The sequence below is a fragment of the Homo sapiens genome, chromosome 13 (genome assembly GCF_000001405.40).
Source record: "Homo sapiens chromosome 13, GRCh38.p14 Primary Assembly".
NCBI classification, from domain to species: Eukaryota; Metazoa; Chordata; class Mammalia; order Primates; family Hominidae; genus Homo; species Homo sapiens.
Window position 1 is genome coordinate 35,172,271 of NC_000013.11, and position 24,390 is coordinate 35,196,660.

At 32.8% G+C, this 24,390-nt stretch overlaps 1 protein-coding gene and 1 pseudogene across 13 annotated transcripts in view; both read left to right on the forward strand.

The window, feature by feature from the left end:
* Positions 1–24,390, forward strand: part of NBEA (neurobeachin) — a 730,467-nt gene that overhangs the window by 230,001 nt on the left and 476,076 nt on the right. For all 13 annotated transcript variants that reach the window (XM_047430271.1, NM_001385012.1, XM_006719803.4 and 10 more), the window contains 5 exons: positions 1,194–1,324; positions 4,726–4,833; positions 10,090–10,258; positions 11,706–11,801; positions 23,594–24,032. In XM_047430271.1, the coding sequence (XP_047286227.1) occupies positions 1,194–1,324; positions 4,726–4,833; positions 10,090–10,258; positions 11,706–11,801; positions 23,594–24,032 (943 nt within the window). The remainder of the gene's footprint in view (positions 1–1,193; positions 1,325–4,725; positions 4,834–10,089; positions 10,259–11,705; positions 11,802–23,593; positions 24,033–24,390) is intronic.
* On the forward strand, positions 13,024–14,409 carry SCAND3P1 (SCAND3 pseudogene 1; annotated as a pseudogene).

Genomic DNA, 24,390 nt, shown 5'->3' on the forward strand with positions numbered 1-24,390 from the left:
TCGTATTATTTATTTAAAGACAGGCAAGCTGAGAGGAATCATTTTGTATTCATTATAAGAGAAAGATTGACCACATTAAGATCTTTCTGGCAACCAAGAGGTGTGGGTTAACTGACGGTGGGCCATTAAAGACATTTCCATTGACATATAACAAGAGCTGTCAAATGAACTGTGTGAGAAAGAGATATATATATATATTTTTAAAATGGCTCAATATCTTGAAACCTGCATTTATTTGGTTATTCTGTACTTTTATTTTTAAATATAGTCCAAGACTTTACTCCCTATTTCATTTTTATCCTAATACTACTAGCACATTTAGTTGTTTAATCAACCACAGGAAACTTTTATAAGTGAATAATAATAAAACACTTATATTACCTCCTATGCTATTTACTGTTCTAAGCACTTTCTATATATTAATTCAGTTAATCCTCACAACAGCCCTCTAAGGCAGTTACTTTGTTCATCCTCATTTTACATATGCTAAAACTGAGGCACAGATAGTTTAAGCAGCTAGCCTAAAACCACACAGCTCCAAACTGGAAAATACAGGATTCAAACTCAGGTCACGGTCTGATTTCAAACTCTGTACTACTTGTTACAGTATTCTACTGCTTCTTAAAATAAATGAATAAATAAAAACATGTACATATTGAATGCTTATTGACAAAGCCCAGAGACTTTCCCACCATGAAGGAAGGTGAATTTGGGGACCTGTGAGACTTGAGTATACTGATGTACTCTATTATTGCCCGAAATGGGAAGTTGTGCTCAGTAGAGTCGACAAGATAGTCAAATTAAGGGCAGAAGCTTTATTAAATTTTTAAATCAAATATGAATTTTATGTTTAAAATATTTTATTGATCCATAAATTCAGAACTGTGAAACTCAGAGGGTAACAGAATAAGGAAGGATACATTGGGGGTTTCAGAGCCTCTGGTAATGTTTTATTTCTTCAGCTGGCTGGTGGTATATGGGTATTTTGTTTTATTTTTAACTATATGTATATTTTGTAGGTACTTTCACTACTGTATTTCATAATTTTGAAAATTATTGATCTAGTTGATTTTAAGATTAATAGTTTATGAAGCAAGGGGAAAGAAAGGGAAGAAGAAATAAACTTGCAACTTTTTCCAGGATATCAAAGTCAACAATTTATATTAACAATATGTTTTTGAATTTTTAAATAGTTTGTTGTGTTGCTGTGAGAAACTGTTTAGAATGTCGGCAAAGACAGAGAGACAGGGGAAATAAATCTTCCCATGGAAGCAGTAAACCTCAGGAAGTTCCTCAAAGTGTGACTGCTACAGCAGCTTCGAAGGTAAGTAAACTTTTTTTCTTGGCCAAATATAATTTACCTGAAAAAAATCTTTTTTAAGTTGATGAGAACAAAGTGCCATGGTATTGCTCAGTGATAGAGAGCAAGGACATTGTCATTAGGCAGCTCTAGGCTGCTTAACAATTTTGTTACCAAGATTACTTAACTTCTCTGAGATTTGTGTGTTTTGGTTATTAAATGAAGTTACTAACAATTTCTACTTAATAAAGTTCTTACAAATATTATAATTAGCACTAAAAACTGTTATTTCTATTTTTAATAGTCATATATTTTCACAGAATTTAATGTATGAATAATTCTCCTTTTAAATGGGTAGGCATAATAGTCAACAAAAACTCACTGAATGCCCATTCAATGAATGGAGTATTTTGAAATATACTATTAGTTTTCTTTCTAAATTAGCTTTCTTTATCATATGCTTAACTGGCCCTTGGCGTCACATCCAGTTTCATTAACATGCTTTTTGAGGTTCTGTGCCTGGTCCTTGCTTACTTCTCCAGCAGCAGCTCTCAGCCCTTTACCCTTGCTTGTGCTGTTTTAGTCATACCATAGACTTCATTCTGTTCATCAAAAGAAGCTATTTCCCCTAACTTCTCAGACTTTTATATGATTTCCTTTCCATAAAGTATTCATCCTTATTTTTTATCCAGCTAAAATCTATGTAACTACTAGGTTACCTTAAATGCTACATTTTCTCAGGAAAATGTTTTTTGACACCCTCGCTACCACCCCAGTCAGTCTAGGGTTGTTCCTTCTGTTTGTTGTTTTCATAAAATTACATAGGTCTGTTATCACTCATTACACTTGTAATTACATGTTTAATATTGATACAGTAACTTTTTGCTCAATAAGTGAAGGTATGAAATAGAAGTTTAATTCATCTTAAAAGTTCTATTGCTTTAAACTTCTGCAGATGGCAAGCAGACTGACCACATATTTATCCTATTCGTTGGTTATTTGCAGTGTTGTAACTTTTTTCTTTTTCACTACTGTCAGAGAACATTTGTAATTTGACTATATATTATTTACTGCTCACAGGACTCCATAGTGCTCTTATTTGGTTTGGGAAATTAAATACAAATGGATCATCAGTAATGCCTGATATCATTTGTGTAGGCATAGTAGACAGATAGGTACTTGAGGGCAGTGTCTATGTGTTATAGATCTTTGTAACTTCAGAGTAATTTTTTTTTTTTTTTGAGATGGAGTCTCACTCTGTTGCCAGGGTGGAGTGGAGTGGCATGATCTCGGCTCACTGCAACCTCCGCCTCCTGGATTCAAGCGATTCTCCTGCCTCAGCCTCCCAAGTAGCTGGGACTACAGATGTGTGCCACCACGCCCAGCTAATTTTTCTATTTTTAGTGGAGACGGGGTTTCACCACATTGGCCAGGATGGTCTAGATCTCTTGACCTCATGATCACTCACCTTGGCCTCCCAAAGTGCTGGGATTACAGGCATGAGCCACCACGCCCGGCCACTTCAGAGTATTTATAGCACTATGAGTACTTTGTAAAAAGAGGACAACTCTAGAATCAGACAGTTCTGAGTTTGTGTTCTGGCTTTACCACTTAACTGGTTTTGCGACCTGAGAGAAATCTCTTAAATTTCTGTGCCTCCGTTTTCTAATCTTTAAAATGGATACAAATCTTAATTTACAGAGTGTTTGTATTAATTAGACAAAAAGTGATAATAGACTGACATGCTTTGATTTCTGGCATGCAGTGAACATTCAGTTATTACTGATTTGTTCCCCTGTCTAGCAGTTTGACACTTAATATATTGTCGTGAAACGAATAAATAGTATTTTGAAGGTGACACCTTTGAGATGTAAGCACTTCAAAATAGTAATGTATTTAGTAATTTGTAGATATACTAAATAAAGTAGATAATAGAAAGTCCTTAAAGATTTTTATAACTAGTATTTCACTGATTGTAGAATATGGACAGAAAAGCCCAGTGGGAAGGAAATTGGTAGTAACTTACTTGAGCTAATCAGTATTTATCTGGCAAGAACTTTGGCAGTGAAAAATGGGTAAGTAGCGATGAATGTAAAAATACTAGGGGAAGATTTGACATTTCACAACAATGAATGGATCTGAGTGGTGTTTCTTTTTTTTTCCTTCCTGTGTTATGTGTTTCTTATGTGACATTTTAGGAAGTAAATCGAGTAATTTTTGAATGCAGTGGGAAAGTTTCTTGCAAGTTTCTTGCATGAATCCCATACCTTCATGTGACCTCATTTTTATACTGTGTGAAAAGGAACAATTACACAAGCTTCTCCTATCATGTTGTCTTTATAAGGATCAAATTAGATTAGGGGTAGAGAAATATAGAAAAGAAAATATTTCTAATCTTAAAATCTATGTTATAAATTCATTTATGCTGTAAATTATGTATTATTTTCTTTAACCATCCTGTAGTAAATATTATTAGTCTGTTATTCAGATGATGTAGCTGAAGTTCAGAGAGGTTAACTTCTCACCGATGGTCATATAGCCAGAAGTTTTGGAATTGTAATGGAAACCAAATACTATCAACCTTTAAATACTATGCTCTTTTTACTATGGCGTGCTGCCAAGGAATCAAACATTTTAATTTTGGGCTAGAATATCATGATTGACATTCATTGAGAAATAGAAGGTACCCTGTTTATTTTTCATTGTTAGAGTAACAACAAGTGCATACCTATTATGGGCTGGAATTGTATTTTGCATTATACATATTATCTAATTTAATCCATACAATTTTTAACACACTGTATAAGTGAGAAAGTACTTGATTGAGTTTCAGGGACCCTAGTTCACTTAGTAGTCTACTATGTGACTACATTACCTGAAATATGTAGATGTTTTTCCTCCAACTATAAAATGTTTTGTTGGTAACAATCTTTAATGTCTTTCAGCTTTAATGGGCTGTGACTGATTCTTTTTAATCTTACCGTTTCTAACCTTGGATAGACCATGAAATGGTTACACATACAAAATCTCATATACTAGTGTAGTATAATAATCTCATATATTATAAAAGCATGATGGATAAATGAACCCAGAGGCTCAAAGAGATTTGTTAACTAGAGGTAGAGAAATGAGGCTCAGGAAATCTTCTGAAGTCCAAGACGAATCTTTATTCTGCTATAACTTTACCTGCCTTTATGAGTCTATAGTGGTAGCTGTGCCAATAAAGAACAAGAATGCTAGTATGGAAACCATGACATGAGTAGAGAGCAGAAAATATGCATTGTAATAGAGGATTATGATCAATAAATGTTAACTCAGAGAGGTGGAGATACATGATGTGACCAGTTTAGCCTGAATTAAGAAGTGATACTTCTATATATTATCTGTAATATATTATCTATTCACAATTCTTTTTATTTTCAAAGACTCCATTGGAAAATGTTCCAGGTAACCTTTCTCCTATTAAGGATCCGGATAGACTTCTTCAGGATGTTGATATCAATCGCCTTCGTGCTGTTGTCTTTCGGGATGTGGTAAGTTATACCTGATTGGTTTCCCTGAAATAAACCTTCTACTGTCATTCGTATGAAATACGTTTTATAAGAAAGCTGCTTATGAAAACGACATTCCCTAGTATCTGGGATTGTTGGTTTATTGCATACTTCTCATTATAAAATGGTTGAACCTTAGCTTTCTCTGAAAGCTTATTGATAATGTTACTTTTAAAAAATGGTCTGAAATTTTGATGTAAGTTGCTTGCATACTAAGAATAGGACTAGCTCTGAAAAATTATAATTAACTTTATCTTGTATCAACTACTCCTCTCTTAGTATTCCTTGCTCCATTTGCAGGTACTAAAAATTTGTTATTATTAATGTTCCTTACATTATGGATGAAAGGGATTAATTCATTAGGTGTTACTGACAATTACTTTTGGAGGAGGGGCAATTAAAGAATAATCTGCATTTTAAAAAATACAGGTATCTATGGGAATTTGAGTTAGAAAGATAGCTTAATAAAGCTAAAGGGAAAAGATGAAGAGGTTTCATGGAACCCTCCAATCTTATGATCAGTTACTCCAGGCAAATAAAAATAAGATTGGCCTTTTCAAAAATTGCATAGAAACATATATGGTGTTTCACATCAGATTCAATGCTGACAGCATCTCTTAACATGGTTATTATAAACCAGCCACTTTGAATTCTGTTTTTCTTGTTTTAGTTGATGATTCTTATCTAGTTGTTGATTGTATATGAAATGTAGAAGAAAGTTTATATTTTAAATTTATATTTAACAGTAAATTGAATGGCATGCTTTGTACTTTAGAACATGATTAAAATATATTTAGGTTATATAACATAATGCTATATGTTAGGAATGTACAATAGAAAAATCATCACTCTGTTTAATATATATTAGTTATAAAATGCTAGGAAAATTCCAAACATACCAACAGAAAAATAGGCAATGGACACAAGGCAACAAACATGATAAAAATTCAGTATCCCTAGTAGTCAACAGAATGCAGATTAACACAGGAGTGAGAGATTTTTCACTATTAAATAAACTAAAAATTTTAAAATGATAATACCTAGCATTGTCTGGGTGCAGTGAAAGCTGCTCTGTCAAATATCACTGGTGTTTGAGCTTTCGAATAGCTCTTTGCCAATATGGTTAAAACTCTTACAAATCTTGATGTCCCAATGAACCACTAGAACCCAGTCGTTCTAGTCAGAATTTGTTTAACTTAATGTTTTCATCAGAGATATCTACAGGAAATTTGGCAGCATTATAAATATCCAGTAATAGAATTTTGGCCTAAAAATTCTTGGCGTAGTCATTCAGCAGTGACCTATTCAGCCTTTAAGCATATATTTTTGAAGGAAATTTAATGACAACGGAAAATGATCATGATATATTTTAAGAGAAAGCAACAGCATGTAGAAGTACTTACATTAACAAGTATTACATATGTATACTGATTGTATGTACATACATACGTGCATCTTTATTTTTAAAAAAAGACTGAAAAAATATACCAGTATTCCACCAATGATTATGTCTAGGTAAACAGATTTTATTTATCCTTTTATGCTTTTTTGTAGTTTTAAATTTTTTATAATAAACCTATATTGTTTTTATAATTAATAAATAATGAAGGTTTTTTTAAAAAGGGAGACTACATTAAAGTATAAAAACCACAATGTAAGAACTCACTGTAATCTAAACTCTAACCTAGACTTGGAAAGAAGATACCATTCTTACTGACAGTTTAACCATTTAGAAATGGGAATAGTCATCCTGAAAAAATGTGTTGTGAAAAGGATTTTTTTTAATGAATGAATGATTAAAAACATGGAGCTCATCTTCATCTCCAAAGGCACAGTCAGACGTAATATATAACATACCGGAGGAGTTTCTATTAAGGGTGACATAGTGTTTAAATTGTTAGTAAATTTTGAATTAGGTTATATGGTAAATGATGATCATTTCCCTTAAATTCATGGATATTTTATAAATATGTTGGATAACCCAGCAGTGGTTGTATCTGTGAAATATGGTGATGAAAAGAGAATGCTTTGGAAAGATCTGGGTTTGAATTCTGACTCTACCTTATACCAGTTGTGTGGTCTCAGTGTTTCTGAGTCTTAACTTTTTCTTAACCCTTAACTGGAAACTTAGGATAATATGTATTTAGTGCTTGATACATAATATAAACCCAATTAACACAAGTTATATTACCTTGATGTTGTTCGGAAGGTACACCATGGCAACACTTAAAGCAGACCGGAGAAACATTATATAGCTCATGTCTTCTCAGTAATAAAATACCTGAGCAAGTCAATTAATTTGTATAAAAATTTAGTCATTCCCCAGATGTTTAGCCTCTATGTATACTGAGCTTCATTTCCAAAGACAGAACTGGGAATAAGAAGCACAACTGACTAGGAGATCTGGGTTAAAAAAAAATAAAAAATAAAAAATAAAAAAAAAAGCTAACTCTTTTCATGCCATATATAAAGGAGGTTTTCGTGTAGCTATGACAGCAGTTTAGTGTCTGTTATTTACAGCGCTGCCACTGTGTAGTTGGCATTCATTCATTCATTCCACACATATTTGTTGAATGCCTTCTGATTGCCTGGTACTGAGTTTCTAGTGTTAGAAATAGAAGTATTATGGGATATTATGGTCTGTCACAGCTTGAGCAATGTGTGAATCTGTTCTTGGTTGGTATCTTTTCTTAATCTGATTGTGCTTCATTTTCCTTTGTAATAACTGCTTAGGCATTTGATTTCTTCACTTCTCTCTGTGTTTATTGTATCATCATTGTAGTGCAAGGAATATGCATTTTAAACAGTTTGTAAGACAAAGTATCTCTAGAAAAGCTATAACCCACAATGTATGAAATAGTAAATTAGGAATAATTCAGAACAGATTTTGTGTATTTTGGTCATTTTCCCCATTAGCCAGACTGTTTTACAATATTAAATCATCAGTAAATATGTCTTATTTGCTTTTTGCCTGCAAATGCACATAAATTATGAATCTTGTTTGCATTGTGCTTAGATGAAGTAATAAATATAAAGTGCCTGTTAATCGAGTTACTAGAATTTATTACTTGCTTGTTTTCCTTATTTCTTATTCTGCCTCTTATCTGTGGGCCACAGTAACTGCTTTCAGTTTGGTTTGAAAGTATCAGTTTTACCTAGCTTATAAAAGAAGTTTAATAAAGATTTACATTTTATTCCTTAGATATACTCTAGTATATTAGAGGTCATATAATTTAGACTTGATACTTATTGTTTCCCTGAAATAAGTTTATCTAGGCTTTTTGAATAGAGCTCTCAAGGTTACATGCAGCTTGTTATATTTTTGGAAAGCATACTTATTTTAAAGTTATCTCTCTACCATACCACAGCCGTTGTTTTAACTATCATTGCTTTCTGCCTTGGCCAGTTTTTTTCAAACCTTTTACCATTTGCTGTTCTCCTCTGGAAGAACTCCATTTTATCTTTGAGTTTGGAAATGAGGAGCGTGAAATATTGGCAGTGTTTTAGAGGTCATTTTTCCTGTGCAGAATAATGGACTATTATTTCTTTTAAAAAATGTTCTATTTCCATAGGTTTTTGGGAAATAGTAGTATTTGAATACACGAGTAAGTTCTTTAGTGGCGATTTGTGAGACTTTGATGCACCCATCACCTGATCAATATACACTGACCCCAATTTGTAGTCTTTTATCTGTCACCCACTTCCCACACTTTTCCCTTCTAGTCCCCAAAGTCCATTGTATCATTCTTATGCCTTTGCATCATAGCTTAGCTTCCACTTATGAGTGAGAACATATGATGGTTTTCCATTCCTGAGTTACTTACTTCACTTAGAATAATAGTCTCCAGTCCCATCCAGGTTGCTGCGAATGCCATTATTCCATTACTTTTTGTGGCTGAGTAGCATGACATAGTGTATATATATACCACAGTTTCTTTATCCACTCATTGATTGATGGGCATTTGTGCTGGTTCCACATTTTTGCAATTGAAAATTGTGCTGCTATAAACATGCATGTGCAAGTATCTTTTTCATATACTGACTTCTTTTCCTCTGGGTAAATACCCAGTAGTGGGATTCCGGGATCAAATGATAATTCTTTTAGTTCTTTAAGGAATCTGCACACTGTTTTCCACGGTGGTTGTACTAGTTTTCATTCCCACCAGCAGTGTAGAAGTGTTTCCTTTTCACCCCATCTGTGCTAATAACTATTATTTTTTTATTATGGCCATTCTTGTGAGAGTAAGGTGGTATCACATTGTGGTTTTGATTTGCATTTCCCTGATAATTACTGATGTTGAGCATTTTTCATATATTTGTTGTTGGCTATTTGTATATATTCTTTTGAGAATTGTCTGTTTATGTCTTTAGTCCACTTTTGGATGAGTTTTTTTTTTTTGCTAATTTGTTTGAGTTCCTTGTAGATTGTGGCTATTAGTTCTTTGTCGGATGAATAGATTGTGAAGAATTTCTCCCACTCTGTGAGTTGTCTGTTTATTCTGCTAACTGATCTTTTTGCTATGCAGAAGCTCTTTAGTTTAATTAAGTCCTGCCTATTTATCTTTGTTTTTGTTGCATTTGCTTTTGGGTTCTTGGTCATGAAATCTTTGCCTAAGCCAATGTCTAGAAGGGTTTGTCAAATGTTACCTGTTTATACGATCAAAGATTGAATTAGCTTTTTCTTATGCTGCCATAATCATACTTCTGGCTCATATTGAGCTTATGTAAATTCATGTTTTCTGCTCCCCCATTGTTTATTTCTCCTCTATTTTGTATTCATATAGTCTCTTGTTCCAGTTACACTAGGATTTTATATGTATTTCAGTTGGAGTTTTATCCTACTAATTTTATTCAGTTATAGTATATAAAACCCTTGATTTTTTTAAAATCCAGGACATTATTCTTTTCAACTTTGTGCCATCTACATATTTTATAAGCACACATACTATGTTGTTATGTAAGTAGTAGATAATAATGGACAAAAATGGACAAAGAATAAAATTTTAATATTCTAGTTTTTGGAAATTACATTCCAACCTGTAGATGATATATTTTAGGAGTTTTATATTTATAGTTAAATAATACTTATTAAATAAATATATATATTTAGCAGGTTTTCATAAAAGTTACATATCATATTTTGCCTCCATAAAGATAATAAAATAGCAGTTTCTAGTGCTTTAAGAACTTATACTTCAAAAAGTTTGAGTGTTAAAACTGTCTTTTCATTTTTCATAGGATGATAGCAAACAAGCACAGTTCTTAGCTCTGGCTGTTGTTTACTTCATTTCGGTTCTGATGGTTTCCAAGTATCGTGACATATTAGAACCCCAGAGAGAGACTACAAGAACTGGAAGCCAACCAGGTAGAAACATCAGGCAAGAAATAAATTCACCAACAAGTACAGGTACTTAACATTGTATAATTATTTGAATTTTCACCATGATGTATCTCCTTTTTTTCACCTTTACATCTAGATTTAAACTGGACCTCTTCATAATCACCTCAAATATTTATGAATGGTTGGTATAGAAATGCTAATTTAGTATTCCTTAATTCAACAAAAATGTATGAATGGTATTTTTATATAGTTGCTACATTCTCATTTTATCAGTATAGCTTTGGTTTCAGTGTTTCTCATTTATTAATACAAATCATTAATTTATACCACTATTTAATATGCAAGTAACTCATATATTGTTAAATATATTACTTTTTTAACATTTATAAACATGAAAGTAGAAAGTCATTATAGAGTTGTTCAATGCCAAGGGTAAGCCAAAATACAAATCTTTGTAGCCAAGCTCAAAAGTTGGATTTTTTTCTTTTTTAGCTGTATACAGTTAATTCAGTATCTAAATATTCTATCAGTGATTTATAATCAAACATGTGTTCTAAACTTTATACCAAAGTGGCCTCAACTAAAATCAAAGACTTGTGGAAAGTTAACATGGACAACAATGAACCACCTTGGGTCATGCTGCCTTTTTTCATTTGCAAAAAATGCTCATGTTGCAGCAGTTCTTGCATTACTAGCTTTGCCCACTCTACTTGAACAGCATAAACACAGTTTCTGGCAACTAACATTTTAATATTGGACACCTTCTATCATTATCATTTCCTTCCAGGTGTTTATATCAAGGTTGTTTCTCTATTGTTTGCAGTGAAACCTTGATAACCTAATGGTTATTTCATGTACCACTGGATTAATTTGTAGTTGAAATTTTCTTTCCTAAATAAATGCATATGATTTATAAATAAAATGGATATTTCAAAAAGTGAGTAGAAATTAGTGGTCAAATCTCTGCATCTTGTTTTTCATAAGCATATCCTATTTCATATACCTTTTATTGATGTCATGGAGATATGGATTATGTTTTAGCTACAGTATTTTGCTGTTGCATGATACATGTACTTTTAACACACAAACATGAGAATATTTCATTATAATATACTTTTGCTTTTAATTTTATTATTCAAATTAAACATCATCCTACCATTCCAGTTCATGTTTTTTCACCATTTAAAACACTAAGACTTATCATTTTCTTTTTCTTCATTTTTAATGCTTTTATATCCATTATATGTACAAAAAGTAATAGTATAGTGAACCTTCTAGTTCTGAGTTTCTTGTGTATTTGTATGTCTCTGTGTATGTTGCTAGAATTACTCTACTTAACAAATGTATTATTTTCTTTCTCTTAATACATAAACTCTTTTCTTCAGAGATGCATTCGTTATTGCTAGTATTGTTTGCATGTTGCAGTAATACAGAATTGTCATGGATCTTCAGTGGACCATGTGGCAGGTTGTTACATGCTGGCTCAAATTTGATTCCATGATTTTCTCCACAGTTGTGGTCATACCATCTATCCCTCATCCAAGTTTGAACCATGGATTCCTTGCCAAGTTAATTCCTGAGCAGAGCTTTGGCCACTCATTTTACAAAGGTAATACTGACCTCATCTCCTGACCTGTTTGGGTATTCTTATTTCATGAATTGTTTTAAAATAAATATTCATGATATACTTGTTTATAAATAAGTATATACCTCAGGTTTCATGGAGATATGATATGTTGTATTTATACCTAGCTATTGAGAGCGAAGTATAGCTTTTATATTTGTATTTTATTACATTTCTTTAAGTATCATCTATAAATTAAGGATACCTAATTATATGTATATTAATATGCATAGTGGTAGCACTCAGGAGAGATCTCAGGAGAGTCACAGTTTAGTAGTGGGACTAAATGAGCCTAATATAAAGGCTACTCTAGAATAAACCTTAAAAACATGCCTTGAAAGCATCAAACTGATCTATACGTTATTTAACTTCCAGTTAGAACAAAGCCCCAACACTGTAAAGGAATGCGAAAAGTCCATATGAAAAACCATAAAATTAAATATTAGACATCCAACAAAAATTATTAAACATGCAAAGAAGGAGAAAAATGTGATGCATAAGCAAAAGAAAAAAAATCAGTGAATAGAAACAGATTTTGAGACAACAGAAATGGCAGAACTATCAGATACGGACATTATAGAAGCCATTACATGTATATTCAAGATGTTTTTCAATGTAATGGAAAAAGTTAACATATTGAAGAGAGAAATGGAAGATATAAAGAAAAAAATGACAATTTTAGAGATGAAAAATACAATAGCCAAAATGATAATATCTCTGTGTAGGAGTAACATGAGATTACTGACTTCAGAACAAAGGATTTATAAGAGGTAGAATTCTGTGATAGCTCCAAGATTTTCCTGTGTACGCACTCTGCAAAATTCCTGGGATGATAAATATGATGGTGTTTACTCCTGTGATTAGGTTATGCTGTATGGCACATTGGCCTTTAAGAAATGGTGATTATCCAGGTGGGCTTGACCTAATCGCATGAGCTCTGTAAAAGAAGAGAGTTTCCTCCTCTGGTCACAGAACAGGAAGTCCGAGAGACTTGAAATGTGAGAGAAATTTGACATGAAGGAGGATCTTTATTGCTTAGATGGAGGTGACCATCTTATTGCTTAGATGGAGGAGCAAGGACCTGAGAAAACCACATAGCTAATAGCACTCACCAGCTGACAGCCAGCAAGAAAGTGGGGACTTTAGTCCTACAGCAGGAAGGAACTGAATTCTGCCAATAATTGAATGAGTTTTGAAGAGGACCCTGTGCTCCAGGTGATACAATACTTCAGTGTATTCCATAACTGCCTAATCATATGGAACAGCACTTTTGGAACAAATAAAGCTAGCAAAATATTTTTGTTACAACTTGATGAATGTACAAATATTATTTTTTATAAATGTGCAACCTTTGAACAGCATGATGAAATGAAGGGAAAAATATTTTTTTCAACCTCACTGCTGGCTGACAAACACATCTAGCTCTAAACTGTGCAAACCAAAAAAAGGATGAGATTGTCAGCAAACATCACCTGGAGTTTGTCTGGTGGAGTGTGTTCCAAAGGCTCTGCTATGGGAAGTATCCGGTTGTATCTGCCCAGATTAAGGAGCCTATATCAGAATAGTAATGCACGTTGTCAAGAAAGTCTTGCTATGAAAATAGTGTCAGTTAAACTGAAAATAGTTTCAGTTACACTGAACAGTGGTGTTAGTAGCATAATAAAATTTTGAATTACTTTAAGGCCAATGTGGTAAACTTGCTATTATTCTTTATATTATGTGATACTATGGCAGATTATCATAACTGTTATTGCATGCTGTAGTGCAGTGGTTATTGGGGGAAAATGTCTGTCAAATATTTTTCATGAACTCAATGCTTCCAAACGGGGAAAGATATTTTTTCATGATAGATATGATCAAAGAGCACAAACAAAAGTTAAAATCTTAGAGGTACACAATTTCTGTGATATGTTTCACAATTTAATAATAATTATCGGCCCAGCTCGGTGGTGCATGCCTATAATCCCAGCACTTTGGGAGGCCGAGGAGAGAGGATAGCTTGAGACCAGGAGTTTGAGACCAGCCTGGGCAATGTAGTGAGACCCCGTCTATACAAAAAATTAAAAAATTAACCAGGCATGGTGGCATGTGCCTGTAGTCCCAGCTACTCAGGAGGCTGAGGTGGGAAGATTGCTTAAGCCCAGGAAGTTTAGGTTGCTGTGAGCTGTGATTGTGCCTACTGCACTCCAGCCTGAGCAACAGAGCAAGACCCTTTTTCAAAGAAAAAAATTATTAAGTATTCTGATCTTTAGGAATGATCTGATTTTGTTCATCTTTCAAGTTATCACCTGTCATTTTATGGATTGGGCAGACTATTTTATATTTTATTTTCCAGCAATAGAAGATTCACAGGTAGCAAATTAATGGATCTGGAATCCATTTCTGTCATTGAAATATAACTTACATCTTATTTTAACTATACAAAATGTAGAAGAGTTTTCATTCCATCAACATACCTGTGTGACACTACTTTCTCCTCTTTGAGTGTTATTGACATAAAACAAAAACAATTTAAGTATTTATTATTCCCGAGTTGCTTTATTGCCAGTTCACCTTAGATTAGATAAATTAACAAGCAAAAAGCTCATTGTCAACATCATAAACTTTATTTATAATCGCAGTATTTGTTCAAAATATTCATATAGGCATTTGGGACGTGAGGATCACTCTTTACCTAAAATTTTTTGTTTAGTTATGTTGTGTAATGAAGAAAAGTTACAAGTGTAATAGTAGTTGTCTAAATTAATCACCAGTTCACTTTCGGTGAACAACACAGGCCATTTTTATAATTGTATTCTTTTTCTTTGTGCTATTTTTGTCTAATTATATTTATTGATATGTAATTTTATGTCTGCCTAATCAAATAACAAAAACAGTTGTGCTGTTTTTGTTTTAAAAACAAAACAAAGTTTTAAAAGTTTAAACTTTAACTTAAACTAAAACTTTAACAAAGTTTTAAAGTTTAAAAGTAGTTTTAAAATTTTTTATTTTTTCAGTAATTTACAATTGGTAAATAAAATTTCATATTTTATTTTCTAAATGTGTCAGCGAATGATGGATTTAGGACATAAAAGTAAATTTTCACAAATAGTTTGAGAAACCCTTTTCTGGACTACTCTTCAGCTCCTTCACACCCCACTCCCTTCTTTCAGCTCCTTTTTGAGACTTTAAGAAAACTCTGAATTAGCTCTCTGGTCTCTCTCTTTAAATTTTGATGTAATCCCTTAGTTCAGACTCAAATCCCTTCTTGAAGTATTGCCATAGTTTCTTCATTGGACTCTTAGTTTCTAGGCTTTCTCTCGGTTTATTACTGACAATTTTGGAAATAACACTAATATATAATACAACATAGTAACAGTAAGTATAATTTATGTACCATTTTAATATAATAAATATTTTATAATATATAATAACTATAATAAAGTAATTTTTCTTCCTAAAATTCTCAAAAGGCTCCCTGTAATTTTTGGGACAAAGTTAAAATGCCTTAACATGGCAAAACTATTCTAATTCTGACTTGACTCAATTACAATAATCATCTCCAAAGTGGGTTCCTTACTTCTCTTACTGATCGTTATTCTTTTATTTTTACAGTTTTGCTGCCTATTTCATGGTTTTAAAAGATAAAGCAGATTATGTCCTTTCTTGACATAAAATTTCTAGTAGTATTTAGAGTAACATTTCACAAGGGCCCTAGATAAGATGACTATTGACTACGTTTCCAACTTTATCTCATGCTATTCTTTCTTTTGCTCACTATGAAACCATCAGACTACCTTCTAGTTTTTTAATCATGCCAAGCATTTTCATGCCTCAGGATGTTTGTATTTTGTTCCTGGCTTTTGGCTCTTTTCCCTGTTTTCTGTGTGACTGGTACCTACTCATTCTTCAGGTCACCTCCTCCGAGAGGCCTTCCCTTACTCCTGTAACTGAGTAGCTTCCTTTCCATTATTATTCTTTCTCATATCATCTTGTTTTATTTCCTTTCTTCTATTCAGTGCTTTGTTTAATCGTTTATTAGAATGTATGCTTCAAGAGGGTAATCATAACTAACTTTTTTTTAGTTTATGTATTTATGGTGTACAATGTGATATACTGATATTTGTATGCATTAGGGAATGATTAAGTCAAGCTAATTAATGTCTTCATCACCTCACGTATCATTTTTTTTTTTTTTGTGGTAAGAATGTTTAAAGTTTATTCTCAGCAGTTTTCAAGTACTGATACATTATTAACTATAGTCACCATGCTGGAAAATAGATCACCAGCATTGATTCCGTCTCTGTAACTGAAACATTGGTCCTTTTGGTGAACATCTTCCCAGTCCCTAGTAACCACTATTCTACTCTTTACTTCTGTGAGTTCAACTTTTTAAGATTCCCTATATAAGTAAAATTATACCTATATTTGTCTTTTTATGTCTGACTTAATTTAATGCAGTATTCTCCAGATTCATCCATGTTGTCATAAATGACAGGAGTTTCTTTTTTTATGGGTGAATAGTGTTCCATTGTGTATATACATTTTATTTATTCATTCATCTCTTCGTCAATAGACACTTGATTCCATATTTTGACTATTGTGAATAATGCTGCAATGAACATTGGGGTGCACATACCTCTTTCAAATACTGATTTCATATCACTTGGATATATACCCTGAAGTGGAATTATTGAATCGTATGGTAGTTCTGTTTTTAATTGTTTGAAGAATCTCAATACCATTTTCCATAATAGCTGTCCTAATTTTCATTCCTATCAACAGTGTGCAAGGGTTCCCTTTTCTTCACATCTTCTCCAACACCTATATTTTACTTTTTGTTTTTTTTTTTTTTTTTGGTTGTTTTTTTTTGAGATGGAGTCTCACTTTGTCACCCTGGCTTGAGTGCAGTGGTGCGATCCTGGCTCACTGCAACCTCCACCTCCCGGGTTCAAGTGATTGTACCGCTCAGCTTCCTGAGTAGCTTGGATTACAGGCACGCCCCACCATGCTGGGCTAATTTTTGTATTTTTAGTAGAGACGAGGTTTCACCATCTTGGCCAGGCTGGGCTTGAACTCCCCACCCCAAGTGATCCACCTGCCTGTGCCTCCCAAAGTGCTGTGATTACAGATGTGAGCCACTGCACCTGGCCACATTTTCAATAATAGCCATCCTGTGTGAGGTGATATTTCTTTGCAGTTTTAATTTGTATTCCTCTAATAATTAGCGAAGTTGAGCATTTTTTATATACCTGTTAGCTGTTTGTCTTCTTTTGAGAAATGTCTATTCAAGTTATTTGCCTATGCTTTAATTGGGTTATTTGTTTTGTTGCTGTTGAGCTGAGTTCCTTATATATTTTGGATATTAAACCTTTATCAGATATATAATTATATATGTTGGCATTTTATTATTAGTATTATTGGTTGCCTCTATTCCATTATAAAAGTGCATGATACATTTTAATAGGATTTATGAGAAGAAAAGGAAAAAGAGTAAAAACAAGCTAGGGCAAGAGAAAAGCAAAATACATATATATGAATATATTGTAAGCTCTAGTCGATAATTTATTTAAAATATAAAAATTATAACTACATTAAAATTTGAGTTCTAAACATTACTTGTAAGTGGAACTTCGGGAAGAGCAAAGTAAGAACCTCCAAAATACTGCTTTTCTAAAAGTAGTATTTTCAAAATACTACTTTTTTTATGTTATTTAAAATAAGAACACTGGCAAAAACTGTCAAAATCAACTTTTTCAGTTCTTTGGAAAGCAATCAGAGGTTTACAACAACCCAGAGGCTGTTAATTCAAGAAAAACTCTAGACCTTTATAAGAACAGCAAGATTTAGAGTGATTTAACTCACCCTGTTGCCATCTACCTTTCCTCAGCTCTGTGGTAGCTTTGAAAACCAGAGGCCAGACACCAGTGGTAGTTTTGAAAACCAGTAGTCTAGCAGCCACTGAGGATAGGAGTGGGAGTAGGTTAGGTTTAGAATTTCTTAGAAAGTCTCGACCTTAGAGCATTATAACTATTTGAACTGTATGGAATCTTCCTGGAAAACTCCATTCACAGGGCTTATTATTATTTGACCTAATCTAGAGCTTGTTTAGTGAGAAAAGCCTGTCTCCAAGGTATTTGTTGAAAATAATCAGCTTTTTTCTTTAATGTTGCAACTGCTCGAAGTGACAGTGCCAGTTGGGGCAAACAAGAACCTTGCCTAAAAGCTTAAACAGATGTGAGAATGAGATATCCATATTCCCAGGGCTGTCCTCAGGCCCAGGGAAGACCTGAGAAGGCCTCAGTCTCTCACCTTTGGCTGACCTTGAGGCCCAGCACAAGAAGGAAGCGCAGGCTAAGAGAGAGTTTTAAACCATGAGAACATTGCAAGCATACCCAAACACACACACACAGAGCCTGTGGCAAAGGGTGGAACATTTATTGGTTCAAGACATTTAAGACAATGTCTGTGCAATCATTAGCTGACCACTAGGTTAACTGAGCAGAGACTTAAGTGGCTGCAGATGATGGAAAACAGATTTTACAGAATTAGTTCAGGAAAATGAATAAACAGAACAAGAACAAACTGTAGGTGGGGTCAGATTTTCATGATTGCCACATTATGTTATTTAAAATATCCAGTTTACAACAAAAAGAATTATGAGACAAGCAAAGAAATAGGAAAGTATGGTCAATACACAGGGGGAACAAAGCAGTTGATATAAAATGCCCCTGAGGAAGCCCAGATACAGAACTTACTAGACGGACACTTTAAACCAGCTATTTTACATATGCTCAAGTAATTACAGGAAGCATTTTCTAAAGAACTAAAGGTATAAGAGCGATATCTCACCAAAAGGAGGATACCAATAAAGATATATGTAATAAAGAACCAAATAGAAATTCTGGAGTTGAAAATTGTAATAACTGAAATGAAAAATTCACTTAGAGGGGTTCAGCAGAAGATCTGAGCTGGCAGGAAAAGAATCAGCAACATGAAGATAGTTCAATTGTGTTTATCCTACGCTGGGGAACAGAACAAAGAAAGAATGAAGAAAAGTGAACAGAGCCTCACAGACCTTTGTGACACTATTAAGTTGAACCAACATATGTATACTGGGAGTCCCAGAGGAAAGAAGAGAAAAAGAAAGGAGCAGAAAGAAAATTTGAAGAAATATTGGCCTGAAAACTCCCTACAGTTGATGAAAATCATTAATATATATGTCTAAAAAGCTCAATGCACTCCAAGTAGGATAAACTCAAGAGAGACCCACATGTTGACACAGCGTAGTCAAAACATCAATTAGAAGATTTTCTTGGCTCTTAATTTTCATTTTGTCTCTTATGGGCGTATAAGTTAGTAATAATATTTAATTCCTGAAGTTGTATTCTTTTCATACACTTAGTGTAGCAAGCAAACAAAATAAATCATATATAAATAATCGCAAATAATTCATTGCAGTATTTTTGTTTAAAATGAACTTTAATGAGGATTTAAAATCTTTTTGTGTATTTTTTTTCCTCTTTGGAGTTAAGATATTTAATTAATTTTGCATTTATGGATTTAATATAAACAAAATGTGTAAGTTAGTTACATATAGCTTTTTTATGTTTCATTTTAAATTACAGTGATTTAGTTTGCTTATATTATTATTTGAAGTGCCAAAGCTTAATATAATTTTTAGTGCTATACTAACAAGGTGCTGTATGTTTCTTTCATGATATTCCTTATTTAGAGAGTTTGGAAAATGGCAATTTCAGTAATTTAATATGTAAGACATATTGAAATTCTTCATAAATCATGGTAAAACAGGATTTTTGGAGGAAGGAATGTGATATGTGAAGTCACCGTGTAAATATCATGTCATTTGCTGAAGTTGTCCTCATATTTTTCTCAAAATGTATTAGATGAACTCATTATAGTCAATGAAAAACAGTAAGAAAAAGAGACATCTGGCATCCAAATGCCTGTTTCTGACAAGGTTAAGATCACTCTGGCTAGTAATGTTTCTGCTCTGTGTACTGACATTGCCTGTTGCTACAGAAACTGATAAGAGCTATTGAAAACTTACATGCCTGTGATTAATATAACCTACACAGATGCAATCATTTATAGTTTTTCTGCAGTTCATGCCTAACTTCCTATTTGAATCATGGATTAAATCCTCAAAGTACTTTAGTGTCACAAAGAGGTATTCTGGAAACACGAGTTATCTAAGTTGAAGTTTATGGTATCAACTGAGAGCATGTTCTGTTAAAGATGTAAATGCATACTGAGAAATATGTAGGTTTTTTGACTACTGATCTGTTTTTTTATTGCTATTATAAAATATCCTATTGGCATTTAGTTTTATTTCTATGTAATATCACAGCGTGTATGCTTTACAAAACATATTTATTTGAATAAAAGTCATTGAAATATCAAAATTACTACTTCCTTTTTGAAATCATTCTTTTATCAGCCTCAATAAAAATAAAATTGAGATGTTTTTAGTACTATGTAAATATTTTGATGAGCTATTTGAAAATATTCTAATATTTGATTTCTAGAAACTTCTAATTGTGTTTTGTAATCTAGAGATCAACATTTATATTGAAGTTTCAACTATCTAGTTAGAAAGTTAAACATTTTAATATCCATTGTAAGTCAAATAGTTGAGCAGAAAAGCAAAATATTATGTAGTTGGTGGCAAAAGTCTTTTGATGTGGTAGCTTGTGAACACCAAATCAGATTTTATTTCCTTAGGTATTTTGTTTGCTAGTGAAATGCTTATATTCCAGTCTAATATAGCTTGAGAAGTTTAAACTTTTTGTATAGCTGTTAATGTAACATGTCATATATAACGATACTTAGACATTATATTAATGGAAAGTCAAAACACTAGACCATATCTGTAAATTAGCTAAATTCACACTAAGTGTTAGATATGATTGTATGACTTCTGATAATTAAACTCTATAAAAATTAGCCCATGCTAGTAACCATGACACTGTTTTGTTTTTGTTGTTGTTAAAGTTTTTGTTTCTGCATTTACATTTTCTGTCCTCTTGTCGCTATAACTATTTAAACTATTTAATTCTCTCCTGATACTTTGCTGCAATTGTTTTCTCTCAAAAAATGTACAATCCATAGATACAAATGTATGTTAAAATATATTCAGTGGTATCTCTAATAGTGAAAATAACTGCCTCAGTCATCTTATCTTCTCATTCTAGATTTGTAGGTTATTTTATCAACTTCCAAAATTTTGGCTATTGCCTCAGTTTGAATGATCCCAAAATGTACGGCTATTCTTCTTTTGACCTACAGATATAAATATCTTAGAGATTCTGTAGACTAAAAGTGATTCAAAATTTAGTTAATTATTTTCCTGAAGAAATCTCATTTTCTTCCTTTCTCAGTTAGTGACGTATTACCACTCTTTTTCTTAACCTAGATATTTCAGAAATACCCTTAGTCTTCTCCTCCTTCTCATTTATAGGGTTACTATTCTAATTTAAGTCTTAGTCTTCTCTGACAAGATTTTATTAAAAATGCCAAACTATTGTCTTTACTTCTTACCTGTTTCCTTCTCTAGTCCTTTGCCTACTATTATTGACATTGTCTTGTCAAATGCAGTTATTTTAATTTTTAATCTTGGAAGCAGTAAAGAATCTACCCTGATTTTCACATTGGTCATCCAATATGAATGTTTGAATATTATTATCATATTCCACAGATTAATCTATTCTTTCAGTCTATCATCTTTGACCAAACTAACAAATAAACAAACAAAATTTAAATCTATTCAACAAATATGAGGAAAACTATGATATAACATTGCATTGTGATAAATGCATATTTTAAGTCAGTTTAAATTAGTATTTGATATTAGGAATATTGAATAATATGAGGATGTTATTTATTCCTAATTTAATGTATAGATTTGATATAATTTGACTCAAAAGAAAAGGGGGAGAAAAAAATGGGAGATTTTATTTCAAAACCTGGCAACATTTTTCTGATGCTTATCCTAGAAAAAGTATTATAAATTCACACCCTCAGGAAATCTGAATGGTATGCCATTAGTTTAAATTCAAGCAATTAAAAAAACTGTCTAATAGACAACACCCAAGAATTGAGTCTGTTACTGACAAAATCCCTTCATATTGTTTTTAATTTTTTAGTATGTGTGTACAAAACTTTCAGAAGCTGTGATCACACCCAACAATTCTATCATCAGAACAACACTTCTACTAGAGATTTCACAAAAGATTTTGTGAGATGTCTTGCTGACATCAAGGTAGCCTATTTTCCTGTTGGGCAGTTTCCTGGTTTCTTGTCCTAACAACCTTTGAATTCAAAGAAACAAGCAAATAATAACAAAATCTAAGAGAAGTTATATAGAATTTACTGATTTTCAATTTTTAGGAGATCTTTGAAATAATTTAGTCTGTGCTTCTCATTTTCAAAGATTATGAAACTTTCAAACTTAAATGCAAGTTTAAGCAATACAAATAGCTAACATTTACTGAGCTTCTACTTTAAAGTGAGAACTGCAGTGAATTTACATATAGTAGCTTAATGGTATCTTACTTTATTCAAAACGATTAAGTTAAGGACTGTTATCTCCATTATACTTAGATGAGATACACTTTTCAAGGTTATCGTTTAGAATTTGGTAACATTTTATTATATGGAGAACTTTATTACATTAACCTTTGTATGATGAAATTTGATAGAAATTTAACATTTTAAAGATTTTTTTATTTCATTACTTTTAGTTGTTAATATTATATGTGTATTTCATTATCTGTGTAGTTATATGCACATATATGTTTCTGATTTAATTTTCACAAATTGAAATTTATATTTATTTACAAAGAATGAGCATGAGTATTCCAAAATATAGGCCTTGTCCTTGAGGAACATTATTATATTATTAATGTATTTATTCTTTTGAACTAATCATTTGACTTGCTTTGCATTTTGCAAGTGTGTCAGAATTTTACGTATTGTAATTTTAAAATGATCTTCGATTATCTTGAATATTTCAGATATTATTAGTTATTGAAGTACCAAAGAAAGTATAAAAATGACTTTATATTTTTAAGGAAACTAATAGAGAAATATAAGAATTTCTCTTCTATGATTGGCAGCTAACAATCAAAGGATAAGAGGGGAACATCATATAATTATTATTTATAAGCTGCTTTAGGAAATTGTTATAGGAACTATTTCCTGATGCTTTTGAAGGCATCAGTTTTGAAATGCCAGATGATTTAAGAAGCAAGAGGATTATTTTGATGCTCCCTGAACAAAATAGTAGGTGTATTGGATGATATCTTTTTGTTTTTTTTTTTGTTTTTTTGAGATGGAGTTTTGCTCTTGTTGCCCAGGCAGGAGTGCAGTGGCATGATTTCAGTTCACTGCAACATCCACCTTCCAGGTTCAAGCAATTCTCCTGCCTCAGCCTCCCGAGTAGCTGGGATTAGACGTATCCCACCGTGCCTAGCTTATTTTTGTGTTTTTAGTAGAGACGGGGTTTCGCCATGTTGGCCAGGCTGGTCTCGAACTCCTGACCTCAGGTGATCCATCTGCCTCAGCCTCCCAAAGTGCTGGGGTTACAGGCATGAGCCATCATGTCTGGCTGGATGATATCTTTCAACTGAGTTGTGTTACTACTATGCACATCCGTTTAGCAATTTTTTGTTTCTACAGGTTTTGTTTTCTTTATTTGAATATATGAAAACATTTGATTAATAATACAAGATTTTTACTTTCAAAGCTTTTTTCTAACCTAGTTTCTTTCATTACAGAAACACCTGCTGCATTTCCAGACACCATAAAAGAAAAAGAAACACCAACTCCTGGTGAAGATATTCAGGTAGAAAGTTCAATTCCCCATACAGATTCAGGAATTGGAGAGGAGCAAGTGGCTAGCATCCTGAATGGGGCAGAATTAGAAACAAGTACAGGCCCTGATGCCATGAGTGAACTCTTATCCACTTTGTCATCCGAAGTGAAGAAATCACAAGAGAGCTTAACTGAAAATCCTAGTGAAACGTTGAAGCCTGCAACATCCATATCTAGCATTAGTCAAACCAAAGGCATCAATGTGAAGGAAATACTGAAAAGTCTTGTGGCTGCTCCAGTTGAAATAGCAGAATGTGGCCCTGAACCTATCCCATACCCAGATCCAGCATTGAAGAGAGAAACACAAGCTATTCTTCCTATGCAGTTTCATTCCTTTGACAGGTAGGTACTGAACTTATTATTCACAGGGCTTTATACATAAAAGGAAAATTAGACTTTGTTAATTTTAAAATATAAGGAAGATCTTGAAAACTTTATTAACGTAGATTCTTATTACAAAGACAATCAAAATGATGGCTCAACCTAATCTTATAATAAGACATCTTAATAATACATCTTAAAGAAGAGGTTTCAATGTGATATGATGGATAGCACATTGAATTGGAAGTAGGGAAACATGGATTATGGTTATATTCCATTATCAAAGGACTACAGTACATCGGGGTGTTATTTTTCTCTTTGGACTTAGTCGTTTCATGTACATAATGGGGAAGGGGATGGGTCACATCTGTCCAAGGTT